Source organism: Homo sapiens, chromosome 7, assembly GCF_000001405.40.
Source record: "Homo sapiens chromosome 7, GRCh38.p14 Primary Assembly".
Classification (NCBI taxonomy): Eukaryota; Metazoa; Chordata; class Mammalia; order Primates; family Hominidae; genus Homo; species Homo sapiens.
In genome coordinates, this window is record NC_000007.14 from 102,225,673 (window position 1) to 102,240,502 (window position 14,830).

General features: G+C 51.0%; 1 protein-coding gene across 25 annotated transcripts in view, besides 1 other annotated feature; it reads left to right on the forward strand.

Annotated features, from left to right (window-relative positions):
• CUX1 (cut like homeobox 1) overlaps positions 1–14,830 on the forward strand; it is a 467,952-nt gene that overhangs the window by 409,666 nt on the left and 43,456 nt on the right. For 19 of the 25 annotated variants that reach the window (NM_001202543.2, XM_047419908.1, XM_047419912.1 and 16 more), the window contains 3 exons: positions 1,695–1,997; positions 8,380–8,568; positions 13,648–13,912. The exons of the other annotated variants lie outside the window; for them this stretch is intronic. In NM_001202543.2, coding sequence (NP_001189472.1) covers positions 1,695–1,997; positions 8,380–8,568; positions 13,648–13,912 — 757 coding nt within the window. The remainder of the gene's footprint in view (positions 1–1,694; positions 1,998–8,379; positions 8,569–13,647; positions 13,913–14,830) is intronic. 25 annotated transcript variants of the gene reach the window in all.
• Positions 14,389–14,458: a silencer, noted in NCBI's record as "silent region_18498". NCBI's record gives its function as "represses an Ori minimal core promoter by ATAC-STARR-seq in GM12878 lymphoblastoid cells {active_cell/tissue: GM12878}" and the evidence as "EXISTENCE:reporter gene assay evidence [ECO:0000049][PMID:35858748]".

Genomic DNA, 14,830 nt, shown 5'->3' on the forward strand with positions numbered 1-14,830 from the left:
CATAGCAAGACCTCATCTCTACAAAATAAAAAATTAGACAGGTGTAGTGGTGCAAGTCTGCAGTCCCAGCTACTTGCAAGGCTGAGGTGGGAGGATTGCTTGAGCACAGGATTTTGAATCAGCCAGGGCAACCTAGCAAGACCCCATCTCCACAAAAAAAAATTTTACAAGACCCTGGGAGCAGAGAGCATGGCCTGGGCCCTCTTACCTGGCACTGTGGGGTCTTACTCTGTGTCACCCTCAGTGGGCATCAGGGGAGAGATTGTGCCAAGACACTGAGCTGGGCCAGGGGCAGATTCTGCCTTGCAGGCAGGACCTCAGCCCGAAGCCACATCTTCCTCCAGGACAGTTTCTATCTGCAGAAATTAGGAAATGGTCTAAGTCTTTATCCCAGACATCCCAGAACTGGAATCCAGCCTCTTTTATCAGGTTTTATGGGCTGTTATCAGAGGCCAGAGGGATCACTCACCAACAGAGCCCAGCTGGCATTTCCCACTGGGCACCCACGGCGACCCCAACAAGGCAGAGGAGAGTGTAGACTCTGGCTTGTCCACACCAGCCCAGTCACTTCTGCTGTTGGTTACAGCATGGCTTATACCAGCAAAGAGCTCGGTTTTCAGAAGCAGGCAGAACCAGCAAGTCCCAAGGTTGGAGGTAGAACTCTAAAATGGAAGAGCTGGGGAAACAGGGTGCTCCTCCTCTCCTTGCCTCTCTCCATCTTCCCCTAGAGTTGGGTGCTGTGGAGTTCTCTGCTCTTCACAACAAAAAAACAGCTGGGCATGGTGGTGTGCACCTGTGGTCCAGGAGGAGCCGTGATTGCACCACTGCACTCCAGCCTGGGCCACCGAGCAAGACCCCATCTCTAAAAACATAAAAGTAAAAATAAACCAACCTAGGTCCTGAGACCCAGTGCTGGAGGACCAGAAGCTATAGCCTTATGTTTCCGCAGTTGTTGTTTTTTTTCTTTTTTGAGATGGAGTCTCACTCTCACTCTGTCACCCAGGCTGGAGTGCAGTGGCACAATCTTGGCTCACTGCAACCTCCACCTCCTGGGTGCAAGTGATTCTCCTGCCTCAGCCTCCTGAGTAGCTGGGATTACAGGCGTGAGCCACCATGCCTGGCTGATTTTTGTATTTTTAGTAGAGATGGAGTTTCACCACGTTGGCCAGGCTGGTCTCGAACTCCTGACCTTAGATGATCCACTCGCCCAGCCACATTTCCTCCTAAGGGTCTTCCTAACTGTGGTGACTACGTATTGTGGGCAGCCCTCATTTAAAACAATCTGTCTATGCTTTTTGTTCTGGAAAATATGGACAACATAACTACACAAGTTATGATCTAGCCAAAGTGCTTCTGAATTACCAAATTATGGGGTTTCATTAGAAGAAATGACAGCGATAACATGATTAATAGGAGTTTTTTTAGCAGAATGCCCTCATGTTAAGCCTTCCGAAGCCTTTCTTTTAAACCCCTAGTTTTTCTCGCAATGATGTTATTTTTGTTTTTTAATATGGAAGACTAGAGGTTACTCTCAGTCAAAAAAATATGAAACAGTTCACTAAGACCCACAGAAAACCCTACCGTCTGCTTCTCCTACAGAGCGTTTAATTAGTATTTCCTAGATAAGGAACGTAGATGGTCGTGGTAAAAGACAGCTATTTTCAGGCACGGTTTCTCGTGTGCTTTAATTACAGAAAGCACTCCAAAGACCTCCGCCAGCTGCAGCCCTGCCCCTGAGTCCCCGATGAGTTCCAGTGAGTCGGTGAAGAGCCTGACCGAGCTGGTCCAGCAGCCCTGTCCCCCCATCGAGGCGAGCAAGGACAGCAAGCCACCAGAGCCCAGTGACCCGCCAGCATCCGACTCCCAGCCCACAACCCCGCTGCCTCTCTCCGGACACTCGGCCCTCAGCATCCAAGAATTAGTAGCCATGTCCCCGGAGCTGGACACCTACGGCATAACCAAGCGGGTGAAGGAGGTGCTGACGGACAACAACCTCGGTAGGTTCTCCTCTCGGCTGCTGAGTCAGGAGGTGGCAGGGAGTTTGCAGGAGGAGCAGGTGAAGGGCGGGCCCTAGGCCAAGCCAACCACAGAGTCTCAACTTGTGTAGGCACCCTTTGAGAACATGAAACATCCTATAGTTGTGAACAGTAAGGAGCGTGCCGTCTGCAGGTCAGTCCCCACCTCCTCCCCACCCTGCACCCCCACGGGGACCAGTTAGAAGATGAGCATGGAGTCAGAGTGGACTCGGGAGGATCCACACAGACTGTCTCTTTTTTTTCTTTTTTTTTTTTTTTTTTTGAGACAGTCTTGCTCTGTCACCCAGGCTGGAGTGCAGTGGCACAATCTCAGCTCACTGCAACCTCTGCCTCCCCGGTTCAAGTGACTGTCGTGCCCCAGCCTCCTGAGTAGCTGGGATTACAGGTACCTGCCACCACTCCTGGCTAATTTTTGTATTTTCAGTAGAGGTGGGGTTTCACCATGTTGGCCAGGCTGGTCTCGAACTCTTGGCCTCAAGCAATCTGCCCACCTCAGCCTCCAAAATTCTTGGGATCACAGGATCCCAAGCCAGGCATGAGCCATCGTGCCTGGCTTAGATGTATCTCAATAGAGACAGTCTGAGTAAGTCCAGATTTCTTGAGGCCACAGTCTGAGACCAGCCTGGGCCACATAGCAAGACCCCATCTCTACAAAGAATTTTAAAATTAGCTGGACATGTTGATGTGCACCTGTAGTCCCAGCTACTCAGGAGCCTAAGGTGGGAGGATCACTTGAGCCCAAGAGTTCGAGACCAGCCTAGGCAACATAGCAAGACCCCTTCTCTATAACAGATTTAAAAATTAGGCCGGGCATAGTGGCTCATGCCTGTAATCCCAGCACATTGGGAGGCCACAGCAGGAGGATCGCTTGAGTCCAGCCAGGAGTTCGAGACCAACCTGGGCAGCATGGCAAAACCCTATCTCTACAAAAAATGTAAAAATTAGCCGGGTATGGTGGTGCACGCCTGTAGTTCAGCTACTCGGGAGGCTGAAGCAGGAGAATCGTTTGAACCCTGTAGTTTTAGGCTGCAGTGAGCTATGACCATGCCACTGTACTTCAGCCTGGACAACACAGTGAGATTCTGTCTCAAAAAAAGAAAGAGGTAGACACCCATTAGAGCCTGGCATCCTCGGGGCTCCAGAGCTGGGCAGCGTCCACCCGGCAGTGCCAGGATGGCTTAGTGGAAGGTCTAACGGACCCCGGTTCTCACTCTGCTCACTGAGTCCGTGATGCTGGCCAGGCTGCCTGCATTCTCAGATCCCCCTCCACGAAACTGGAGTAACCACGCCTGCCTGGGAGCAGTGAGTAGCAGCATTTTCTAGCACCAGGCCCGACTGGTAATAATAGTCATTGTTATTTTATCATTGCTGTTCCCGCTGCCTTGCGAAGCCATCTCCATTTCACAGCCCACAGCTGGGGCGGGCAGCCCCTGGGGAACTCACTCCGTCACCCTGGCATCCCACCGTGCCTCAGACCTGGCCTCGGCCTGGCACATGCTCTAGCCCCCTGGGTGCTCGGCCTGGGTTGGTTGTCTGTGCTCTGTGTCACTGGTCATCAGCTGCTGTGGCTGTAAGAATGTTACGGTGTTTCATCTTTTTTTTTTTTTTTTTTGAGATGGAGCCTCACTCTGTCGCCCAGGCTGGAGTGCAGTGGCGCAACCTCAGCTTACTACAGCCTCTCGGCTCACTGAATGCCGGGTTCACGCGATTCTCCTGCCTCAGTCTCCCGAGTAGCTGGGATTACAGGCATCCGCCACCGTGCCCAGCTAATTTTTGTATTTTTAGTAGAGACAGGGTTTCACCACGTTGGCCAGGATGGTCTCGAACTCCTGACCTCAAGTGATCCACCCACCTCGGCCTCCCAAAACACAGGGATTACAGGCATGAGCCACCGTGTCTGGCCTTTTTTTTTTTTTTTTTTTTTTTTGAGACAGAGTCTCACCGTCTCACTCAGGCTGGAGTGCAGTGGCACAATCGCGGCTCACTATAATCACTGCCTCCTGGGTTCAGGCGATTCTCCTGCCTCAGCCTCCCAAGTAGCTGGGATTACAGGTGCCCACCACCACGCCTGGCTAATTTTTGTATTTTCAGTAGAGACAGAGTTTCACCATGCTGCCAAGGCTGGTCTCGAATTGGCCTCTGGCCTCAGGTGATCCACCCACCTTGGCCTCCAAAAATGCTGGGATTACAGGCATGAGCCACCACACCAGCCAAGCCTATTTTGTCATTTTAAACCACCGTGCTCCTCCAGTGTGGTGTTAACCAGGCAGGGTTCCCTGGTTTAGGCACGCGGAGATTGGAAACCCACCCTTTCTATCTTTATTTCCCAAGGGTGAAAGTCAGTTAAAGGGGCAGTGTTCTCTGCAGAGCATGTAAGCACAACCCTACCGAGTGGTTGCAGTTTGTCTGCTGCTCATGGAAAGGCCTTGTGTGTCTTTTCTTTCTCCCATGGGATGAGAAGAGAAGGGAGGCCGAGCATGGTGGCTCACTTGAGAATGACAGGTGGCCTGTAACCCTAGCACTTTGGGAGGCTGAGGCAGGTGGATCACCTGAGGCCAGGAGTTCGAGACCAGCCTGGGCAACACAGTGAGACCCCGTCTCTACAAAAAAAAAATTTTTTAAAAATTATTATCCAGGCATGGTGGCACCCGCTGTAATCCCTGCTGCTTGGGAGGCTGAGGTGGGAGGATCACTTGAGTCCAGGAGGTTGAGGCAGCAGTGAGCCACGGTGGCATCACTGCACTCCAGCCTGGGCAACAGAGCAAGACACTATCTCAAAAAAAAAAAATTAAAAAAAAAAAAAAGAACAGAGTAGCTGAGTTCCACTAAAGTTTGCTCAGTGATCTAACAGCCTGGAGGTTAGGCCAGCTTGTCCAGTGGAAGCCTCCCATCCCCATGTCTGTATGCAACAGACAAAACAGAATGAGAGAAAAAGTCATATCAATGAGACCTTATATAATTAAGTCAATTCATAAAAATAAAAATGTAGCTGTTGATTTGAAAAAATGGCTAATTCCCATATGTTCATCAGTTATTGAATCATGCAGGGATTCCTAGACTTGAGTCATCTCCCACTTCATAGCTCGTCACACATCCAAGGAAGCAGACCAGTTGCATCACTCCTGCCCACCTCCTTATAGGAAGTGGCATTTCGTGTAAATGTTGAAAATCAGATAGGGTCTAGCTCTGTTGCCCAGGCCGGAGTGCAGTGGCACGATCATAGCTTACTGCAGCCTTGAACTCCTGGGCTCAAGCAATCCTCCCACCTCAGCCTACTGAGTAGCTGGGACTACAGGCACACACCCCAAGCCCGGCTATTTTTTTTTTTTTTTTTTTTTTGAGATGGAGTCTCGCTCTGTTGCCCAGGGTGGAGTGCAGTGGCGCGATCTCGGCTTACTGCAATCTCCGCCTCCCAGGTTCACGCCATTCTCCTGCCTCAGCCTCCCAAGTAGCTGGGACTACAGGCGCCCACCACCATGCCCGGCTAATTTTTTTGTATTTTTAGTAGAGACGGGGTTTCACTGTGTTAGCCAGGATGGTCTCAATCTCCTGACCTCGTGATCTGCCCGCCTCAACCTCCCAAAGTGCTGGGATTACAGGCGTGAGCCACTGCGCCCAGCCTTTTTTTTTTTTTAAATAGAGATGGGGTTTCACCATATTGCCCAGGCTGGTCTCAAAACTCCTAGGCTGAAGTTATCATCCATGCCACCATCATTGCTGGAGTTTTCCTTGATGTTGGTTTTACTGGGTGAAGGTTTGTAGCTTTCTTCAGGCTCTCAAATGGGTCTGTAGCCCCAAAACAATTAAAAGTCATGGCTAGGAAACATCTAGGAGTCATACAGATAATTTTCCAGGAATAATCATCTGATTTTTTTTTCCCCATTCAGCTGGGAGGCCTAAGCAAAGAGCAACTAGCTATTCATATATATTGCTTTCCCGAACATAGCAAGCTCCTTGAAATGAAAATAGATTCTTTTACCATGTTAGCATTAAGTAAAATTTTCTCTTTTTTTTTTTTTTTTTGAGATGGAGTCTCGCTCTGTCACCCAGGCTGGAGTGCAGTGGCACGATCTCGGCTCACTGCAAGCTCCGCCTCCCGGGTTCACGCCATTCTCCTGCCTCAGCCTCCTGAGTAGCTGGGACTACAGGGGCCCACCACCACGCCCAGCTAATTTTTTGTATTTTTAGTAGAGACGGGGTTTTACTGTGTGAGCCAGGATGGTCTCGATCTCCTGACCTCATGATCTGCCCACCTTGGCCTTGCAAAGTGCTGGGATTACAGGCGTGAGCCACCGCACCTGGCCAAAATTTTCTTATAACAACTAAAAAAAAAAAAATCATAAGGACTTGGGACATTTATAGGCTAAAGAGTTTGAAAAGCAGAGAAACACAGGTTTACAAAATCAGTAAATTTATCTTTAAGTTTTTTGTTTTGTTTTGTTTTGTTTTTTCTTTTTCTTTTTCTTTTTATCTTAAGTTTAAAATGACTAAGCCAGGCGTGGTGGTGCACACCTGTAATCCCAGCTACTCGGGATGCTGAGGTAGAACAATTGCTTGAGCCCAGGAGCTCGAGTCCAGCCTGGGCAATATAGCGAGACCCTGTTTCTTTAGGGAAAAAAATTAAAAAGACTGATAAGAAATTAATGTCTCAGCTTCAGTGCTTTCTAGGCAGTAAACTTTTACTTGGAGGCCCCCTTCTTAGAAGCCAGTGTGTGGTGTTTCTATTTCACATAGAGGATGTAAGCCACAGAGAGAACAAGCCAGCCCTCTGTCGTCTCCCTGCCCCGGATGGGGAGAGGTGCCTTCTGTTCTGTACACTTTATGGGGTCAAACGCTGGCCCCTCTGATCCCAGTCTCCACTTCCACCTAATAAGTCCTGTTCATTCAAGTACTCCCGTCAGGCCTTCCAGGTTATCACTGATCCTAATTTGTATCTTTACAAGCGGTGGCCCTCTAAACCAGCAGCGGAATGGCCCTCAGAGAAGTGAGCCTTTCTTTCTAAGCTCCTGACAAGCATTGCCAACTCAATGCGGCTGTGCTCTCCATAGCGAAATGCCCTCTGATCAGCCTGTGAAGCGGGCTGCCTGCCCCTGCCTGGGAGAAGAAAAGGTATCAGGAAAGGGGTTTTGATCCACTTCCAGTTACTTTATTTAGCAAAGGCAGCCTAGACTGCAAAAGCAGACTTTGGAATTGGAATCGGCCGGCCTCTCAGAAAAGCAGAGCTGGGCAGCTCCCTCTCCTCTGTCCTGCTGTGATTGTGGGTTGCCTGCCCCGTTTTCTCAGCGAGACCTGATAACCTTGCTAATTGTGGAAGGAGACGCAGGTTGCCCTCTGATTTGAGGTTGTACAAGAGAGGTCTCCTGTTTGCTGTTTGGCCTCCTGAGCTCTGGCTTAGAGATTTCACTGCCTCTGAGAAACACCACAGGTGTTAGCGTGACCTCAGCACATACAAAGCCTGAAGGCTTTTTTTTTTCCTTTTTTTTTTTTTTTTTGAGACAACGGTCTCTCTCTCTGTTGCCCAGGCTGGAGTGCAGTGGTGCAATCATAGCTCACTGCAGTCTCAACCTCCTGGGCTCAGGCAATCCTCCCATCTCAGCCTCCTAAGTAGCTGGAACTATAGGTACATGCCACCACGCCTAGCTAATTTTTTGTGTGTGTATTTTTGTAGAGACTGAGTCTCACTGTGTTGCCCAGGCTGGTCTCAAACCCCTGGGCTCAAATGATCTTCCCGCTTCAGCCTCCCAAAGGGCCCTTCCGGCCACCGCACCAGGCTGAAGGCTTAAGAGAAACGTCACTGGCCAGATGCGGTGACTCATGCCTATAATCCCAGCACTTTGGGAGGCTGATGGGGGTGGATCACCTGAGGTCAGGAGTTCAAGACCAGCCTGGCCAACATGGCGAAAACCCGTCTCTACTAAAAATACAAAAATTAGCCAGGCGTGGTGGCGAGCACCTGTAGTCCCAGGTACTCTGGAGGCTGAGACAGGAGAATTGCTTGAACCTGGGAGGCGGAGGTTGCAGTGAGCCAAGATTACACTACTGCGCTCCAGCCTGGGTGACAGAGCAAGACTCCATCTCAAAAAAATAATAATAATAAAGAGAAATGTCATTGGTTGTGTGTACGGAGAATGCAAGAGCAATGCCAACTCCCTGGCCAATGGAGAGTATTATAAGTCTGGTTGAAGATATATTTCTACCACATGTTTGCTGTAAGCTAGGATGTCACCAGCCCAACCCTGAGCCTTTAAACTCCTGTGTCTGATTTTAACCTTGACACGTACTTGTCCCTTCAGATCCCTGGCTCTCGGTGACAATACCTGTCTTGCTTCTGTTTTCTCTCTAGGCCAGCGCTTATTTGGGGAGACCATCTTAGGGCTCACCCAAGGCTCTGTCTCTGACCTCCTTGCCCGCCCCAAACCCTGGCATAAGCTCAGTCTGAAAGGACGAGAGCCCTTCGTCCGGATGCAGCTGTGGCTGAACGACCCCAACAATGTGGAGAAGCTGATGGACATGAAACGGATGGAGAAGAAAGGTAAGTCTCCCTGCCCCGCCCGGGCCGGCTGCGTCCGCATTCATAGACAGGCTGTTTCTTTCAAATCTTTCACACACAGCTGATGAGGGACATTGACCCATGACCAAGGGACCAGAGGACAGGGCAAAAATATTTTTGGATGGTCATCAGCTAATGAGTACCTAAGAGGGCTGGAAAGTTGTGTAACTTTTTCTCTCCAGCAGCCTGAATCTAAAGATTTTTTTAGCACTGGGAGCACTTTTAACCAAGGAGAGCGAAACAGCTCTGGGGGCGCTGCATTTGGTTTTTGTGTTGTGTGGGTGGCTGATCGGGCTATCACAGCATTTACTGAGCATGTACCAGGTGGCTAGAGGCCTTCCTTTGTTATCAGAGAGAGAAATAAGAAATGCATTTTGTAGGCAGGGCACGGCGGCTCACGCCTGTAATCTCAGCACTTTGGGAGGCTGAGGCAGGCGGATCACTTGAGGTCAGGAGTTCAAGACCAGCCTGGCCAACATGGCAAAACCCCCTCACTACTAAAAAAAAAAAAAAAAAAAAAATATAGCCAAGCTTGGTGGCGTGCGCCTCTATAATCCCAACTACTTGGGAGGCTGAGGCACAAGAATCGCTTGAACCCTGCAGGCGGTGAACAGAGATTGAGCCACCGCACTCCAGCCTGGGTGACAGACCATGACCCTATCTCAAAAAAAAAAAATGCATTTTGTAGATCAGGAAACAGAGGTTCAGAGAGGTTCGGTGCCTCCACCAAGGTCACCCGGCCTGGAAAGTGACAAAGCAAACTCCTGCCACAACAGATCTCTCTCTTGCTGTTATTTCCCAGCCTCTGGGGATTTGGCCTCCCTAGAGGAATAACCCCACGTGCACCCACATGTCATCTCGAATGTGGATTCATGTTCTTCTTGCAGCCTGTAGGCTACAGCATAGGAAAAATGCCTAAAGCCAGGTGTGCTGTGCCTCTTGGTTTGCAGTTTCTAAGCGCTGGTCCTCGCCAGTGAGTCCGCCCCTCGAGCACCCTCAGTCCTCAGGTCACCTATGGTGCTGGGAGCTCACTGGGCGGCTGAACTGCATCCCTTAGGGGCAGAGACTGGGAACCAGCTGCTGCCGGTCTGACCGTAAGAAGCGGCAGCCTCCCTGATCAGCTAACGCAGAGGACCTTAACTAAGAGTGGGCATCCCAGGGGCCGGGCACAGTGGCTCATGTCTGTAATCCCAGCACTTTGGGAGTCCGAGGCAGGTGGATCACTTGAGGTTCAGAGTTCAAGACCAGCCTCAGCAACATAGTGAAACCCCATCTCTACTGAAAAATACAAAAATCAGCCAGGCATGGTGGCGCACGCCCGTAATCCCAGCTACTTGGGAGGCTGAGGCAGGAGAATCGCTTGAACCTGGGAGGAGGAGGTTGCAGTGAGCAGAGATGACACCACTGCACTCCAGCCTGGGCGGCACAGCGAGACCCCATCTCAAAAAAAAAAAAAAAAAGAATGGGCATCCCAGGCCCTTGAGTGGCTCTGCCCCAGCCCACCCCACCCCCGTCCCCGCCACACACACACACACACACACGCGCACACAACATCTGAGCCAGGGGTGGGTATGGAACCCAGGCCTGTCAGTTCTTAATTCACCCAGAAATTCCAGCCAAGCATCGCCGTTCTCACCCAACCCGGGAAAGGACTGCTGAAGGAGAGAGAGTGTCTGGTGCCTCCTCCAGGAACCCTATGGGGGTTCCTTTATAATAATAGAGGCTTCTATTTTCTGAGAACTGCCCTGTTTGCCAGGCACTGCGCTAAGACTGCTGTTCATCCACACGACTCTGCTTAGATGTCCTTATCCAGGAAATACGAACCTCGGTGCTTCATGCAGCCTAGCAGATTTCAATAGCTCCTATCAGTAGGGAACGGGAATTCATACTCAGGGCTGTCAGATTTCAAAGCAGATGCTCTTAAATATACATCCGCTGCCTCTGTGCTGCGAGCTGCCCCCCTGGGATGACCCAGGGGCACTGCTGCTGCCCACTGATGACCTGCCCAGGTGGTGGCCTCTGCCCCATTCAGGGCCCCTCTAGCGAGCTCTGGCCTGCCCTTGGGCCTGTAGTCTAAGGGTCTGAGGTAGGCCATGCCTCTTGGGCAGCCCCAGGCAGCGCTGTAAGCTGCAGAGGCCTGGTGCCACATTGCCCCCCTAAAAGTTTTCAACTTATTTTTCGTTTTGTTTTTTGTTTTTTGTTTTTTAAAGTCTCGCTATATTGCCCAGGCTGATCTTGAACTCCTGGCCTCAAGCAGTCCTCCCATCTCGGCCTCCCAAAGCGCTGGGATTACAGGCATGAGCCACTGCGCCCGGCCTTTTCAATGTCTTATTATGGGAAATCTCCAACATAAACAAAAGTAGAGAAAATGCTGTCATGAACCCAATAGATCTGTGCAGAGTTTCCCGTGATCCCCTCACCCGAGCAGCGTGAAGCTTCCTGCACTAGCCAGGAGGCAGCCCTCAGCCCTTAGGAGGGAGGAGGCCCTGACAACCCAACTCCCTGCTGTGTTTCTCACCCTGGGGCCCTTAGGAAAGGACCTTAGTCCCCGCAAATACATCTCCAGGGCTTCCCAGGCCTCCCATCTTTCCCTCGGCACAGGCTCGGGGCGCCCTCTTGTGTTACAAATGAATTACTGTTTCTGCGGGGCCCAGACCTTTCCAAAGGTGCCCTAGTATCCAAAGCCGCTGTGGTCCGATGGCCTTCTCTTCACTCCTGGGGGTGCCGGCCACAAAGGCTGCTCCCTAGAGAGGCCTTCTCCAGCCCCCTGCCAGCCCCTGGTCAGTCGTCTGTCCCCTAGGAGGGAACTGGAGGGAGTCCCCACGGTTGGACAATCCAACTCCTTTCTCTGGATCCAGCAGCTTTGACTCCGCTGTTTGGGTTTTCTATGGGGAAGATTTACCTTCTCAATTGCTTCTGAGTTCTCATGACAAAATGGCAAGTTAATTAAGGAAATCCCTTGCCTAAGCTGTTTATTTTATTTTTTTAGAGACAGGGTCTCTGTTGCCCAGGCTGGAGGGCAGTGATGCAATCATAGCTCACTGCTGCAGCCTCGGTGTTCTGGGCTCAAGTGATCCTCCCGTCCCAGCTACTCGGGTGCACGCAGCCTCGGTGTTCTGGGCTCAAGTGATCCTCCCATCCCAGCTACCCGAGTAGCTGGGACTACAGGTGCACGCCACCACACTGGCTAATTTTTAAATTTTTTTTGAGACAGGGTCTCTCTATGTTCTCCAGGCTGGTCTCAAACTCCTAGGCTCGAGCAATCCTCCCATCTCAGCTTCCCAAAGTGCAGAGATTATAGGCGAGAGCCACCACGCCCGGCGATGTCCTTCAGGATTCAGTTTAAACATCATCTCTTCTAGGCAACTTCCCCTTCTGCCTCCCCAGGTGTAGGGACCAGCCCCACAGGGTCTGTGGGTCTCTCCCCGTGTGTGGAGACGAGAGAGTATAGAAATAAAGACACAAGACAAAGAGATAAAAGGCAGCTGGGCCCGGGGAACCACTACCACCAAGTTGTGGAGACTGGTAGTGGCCCCAAATGCCAGGCTGCACTGATATTTATTGGATACAAGACAAAGGGGCAGGATAAGGAGAGTGAACCATCTCCAATCATAGGTAAGGCCACGTGGGTCACATGTCCACTGGACAGGGGGCCCTTCCCTGCCTGGCAGCCGAGGCAGAGAGAGAGAGGAGACAAAGAGAGAAACAACCTACACCATTATTAGAGACTTTTAGTACTTTCACTAATTTGCTACTGCTATCTAGAAGGCAGAGCCAGGTGTACAGGATGGAACATGAAGGCAGACTAGGAGCGTGACCACTGAAGCACAGCATCACAGGGAGATGGTTAGGCCTCCAGATAACTGCGGGCAAGCCTGACAATGTCAGGCCCTCCACAAGAGGTGGAGGAGCAGAGTCTTCTCTAAACTCCCCCGGGGAAAGGGATACTCCCTTTCCCGGGATACTCCCTTTCCCGGTCTGCTAAGTAGCCTGTGTTTTTCCTTGACACTGAGGCTACCGCTAGACCACGGTCCGCCTGGCAACGGGCGTCTTCCCAGACGCTGGCGTTACCTCTAGACCAAGGAGTCCTCTGGTGGCCCTGTCTGGGCATAACAGAAGGCTCGCACTCTTGTCTTCTGGTCACTCCTCACTGTGTCCCCTCATCTCCTATCTCTGTATGGCCTGGTTTTTCCTAGGTTATGGTTATAGAGCAAGGATTATTATAATATTGGAATAAAGAGTAATTGCTACAAACTAATGATTAATGATATTCATATATAATCATATCTAAGATCTATATCTGGTGTAACTATTCTTGTTTTATATTTTATTATACTAGAACAGCTTGTGTCCTCGGTCTCTTGCCTCGGTACCTGGGTGGCTTGCCGCCCACACCCAGGCCTGGCCGAGGAACTCTTCTCAGTATCCCCATGGTCTCTTGCACTTACTTACCCCCACCCCACTTTTCACTCTGCTGGGAACATCTCTCTGGATACTTCTCTGCCTCCCCTACTAAACTGTTAAGTTGTGCAGGGACAGGTGAGGACCTGACATTCCGTCAGAGCAGGTCCTTGGTGAGCATGTGCTGGTAACAGAATGGCTCTCATCTTAGCGTTGTTTCTTTTGTTTTGTTTTGTTTTGTTTTGTTTGAGACGGAATCTTGCTCTGTTACTCAGGCTGGAGTGCAGTGGCACCATCTCATCTCACTGCAACCTCCACCTCCCAGGTTCATGCAATTCTGCCTCAGCCTCCCTAGTAGCTGGGATTACAGGTGCGTACCACCACGCCCAGCTGATTTTTGTACTTTTAGTAGAGACGGGGTTTCACCATATTGGCCAGGCTGGTCTTGAACTCCTGACATCAAGTGATCTGCCTGCCTCGGCCTCCCAAAGTGCTTGGATTACAGGCATGAGCCACCATGCCCAGCCTCATCTTAGTGTTTTGAGATGCTCTATGCAAAGTCCTGCAAGCCGGCACTGTGCCGTCCCGCTAGCGGGACTGGGGATTTGGGCTGCTGTCCCAGCTGGGCCTGACCTTAGTCTGCCATCTCTTCCTCCGCAGCCTACATGAAGCGGCGGCACAGCTCAGTCAGTGACAGCCAGCCCTGCGAACCGCCCTCTGTCGGCACCGAGTACAGCCAGGGCGCCAGCCCCCAGCCCCAGCACCAGCTGAAGAAACCCCGGGTGGTGCTGGCTCCGGAGGAGAAGGAGGCGCTGAAACGAGCGTATCAGCAAAAGCCATACCCGTCACCAAAAACCATCGAAGACCTCGCCACCCAGCTCAACCTGAAAACCAGCACCGTCATCAACTGGTTCCACAACTACAGGTACGACGGCTGGCTCACAGGGAGCGCCGGTCGGCCCAGGGGAAGGGGCTGATCTGTCCGGAGGCCGCCATGGCGCACAGGGGTGAGGCTGGGGCCGGAGGTGGGGCGCTGGGAGCTCGGTGATTGGTCCGTTCCTTGGTCCCTTAGGGTTTTTTTTTTCTTTTCTTTTCTTTTCTTTTGAGATGGAGTTTCAATCTTGTTGCCCAGGCTAGAGTGCATTGGCGCAATCTCGGCTCACTGCAACCTCCGCCTCCTGGGTTTAAGCAGTTCTCCTGCGTCAGCCTCCCAAGTAGCTGGGATTACAGGCATGCACCACCAAGCCCGGCTAATTTTTGTATTTTTAGTAGAGACGGGGTTTCACTATGTTGGTCAGGCTTGTCTCAAACATCCTGACCTCAGGTGATCTGCCCACCTCGGCCCCGCAAAGTGCTGGGATTACAGGCGTGAGCCACCACGCCTGGCAGTTCCTTAGGTGTTATTGGAGGTTTTAACTGCAGAGATGTAAGGCCACGTCCCTTCCCGTCACTGTCACATAGTTAGAAACAGGTGGTATCTGCCATGACCCAGAAAGAAAATCACCTCTCGATTACATCATTTAATAAGGGAGAGTGTAGGCATTCATGGTTCAAAAGGAGTGAAACTTTTGTGGTTTAGTTTATATATATCTATATTTATAGTTATATTCATATTTATTTATTTTTAGAGACAAGGGCTTGCTCTGTCACCCAGGCTAAAGTGCAGTGGTGCAATCATAGCTTACTGCAGGCTGGAACTCCTGGGCTCAGGCAGTCCTCCCACCTCAGCCTCCTGAGTAGCTAGGATGCCAATGCACCACCATGCCTGCTGATTTTTTATAGAGACAGGGGTCTCGCTCTGTTGCCCAAGCTGGTCTCAAACTCCTGGCCTCAAGCAGTCCTA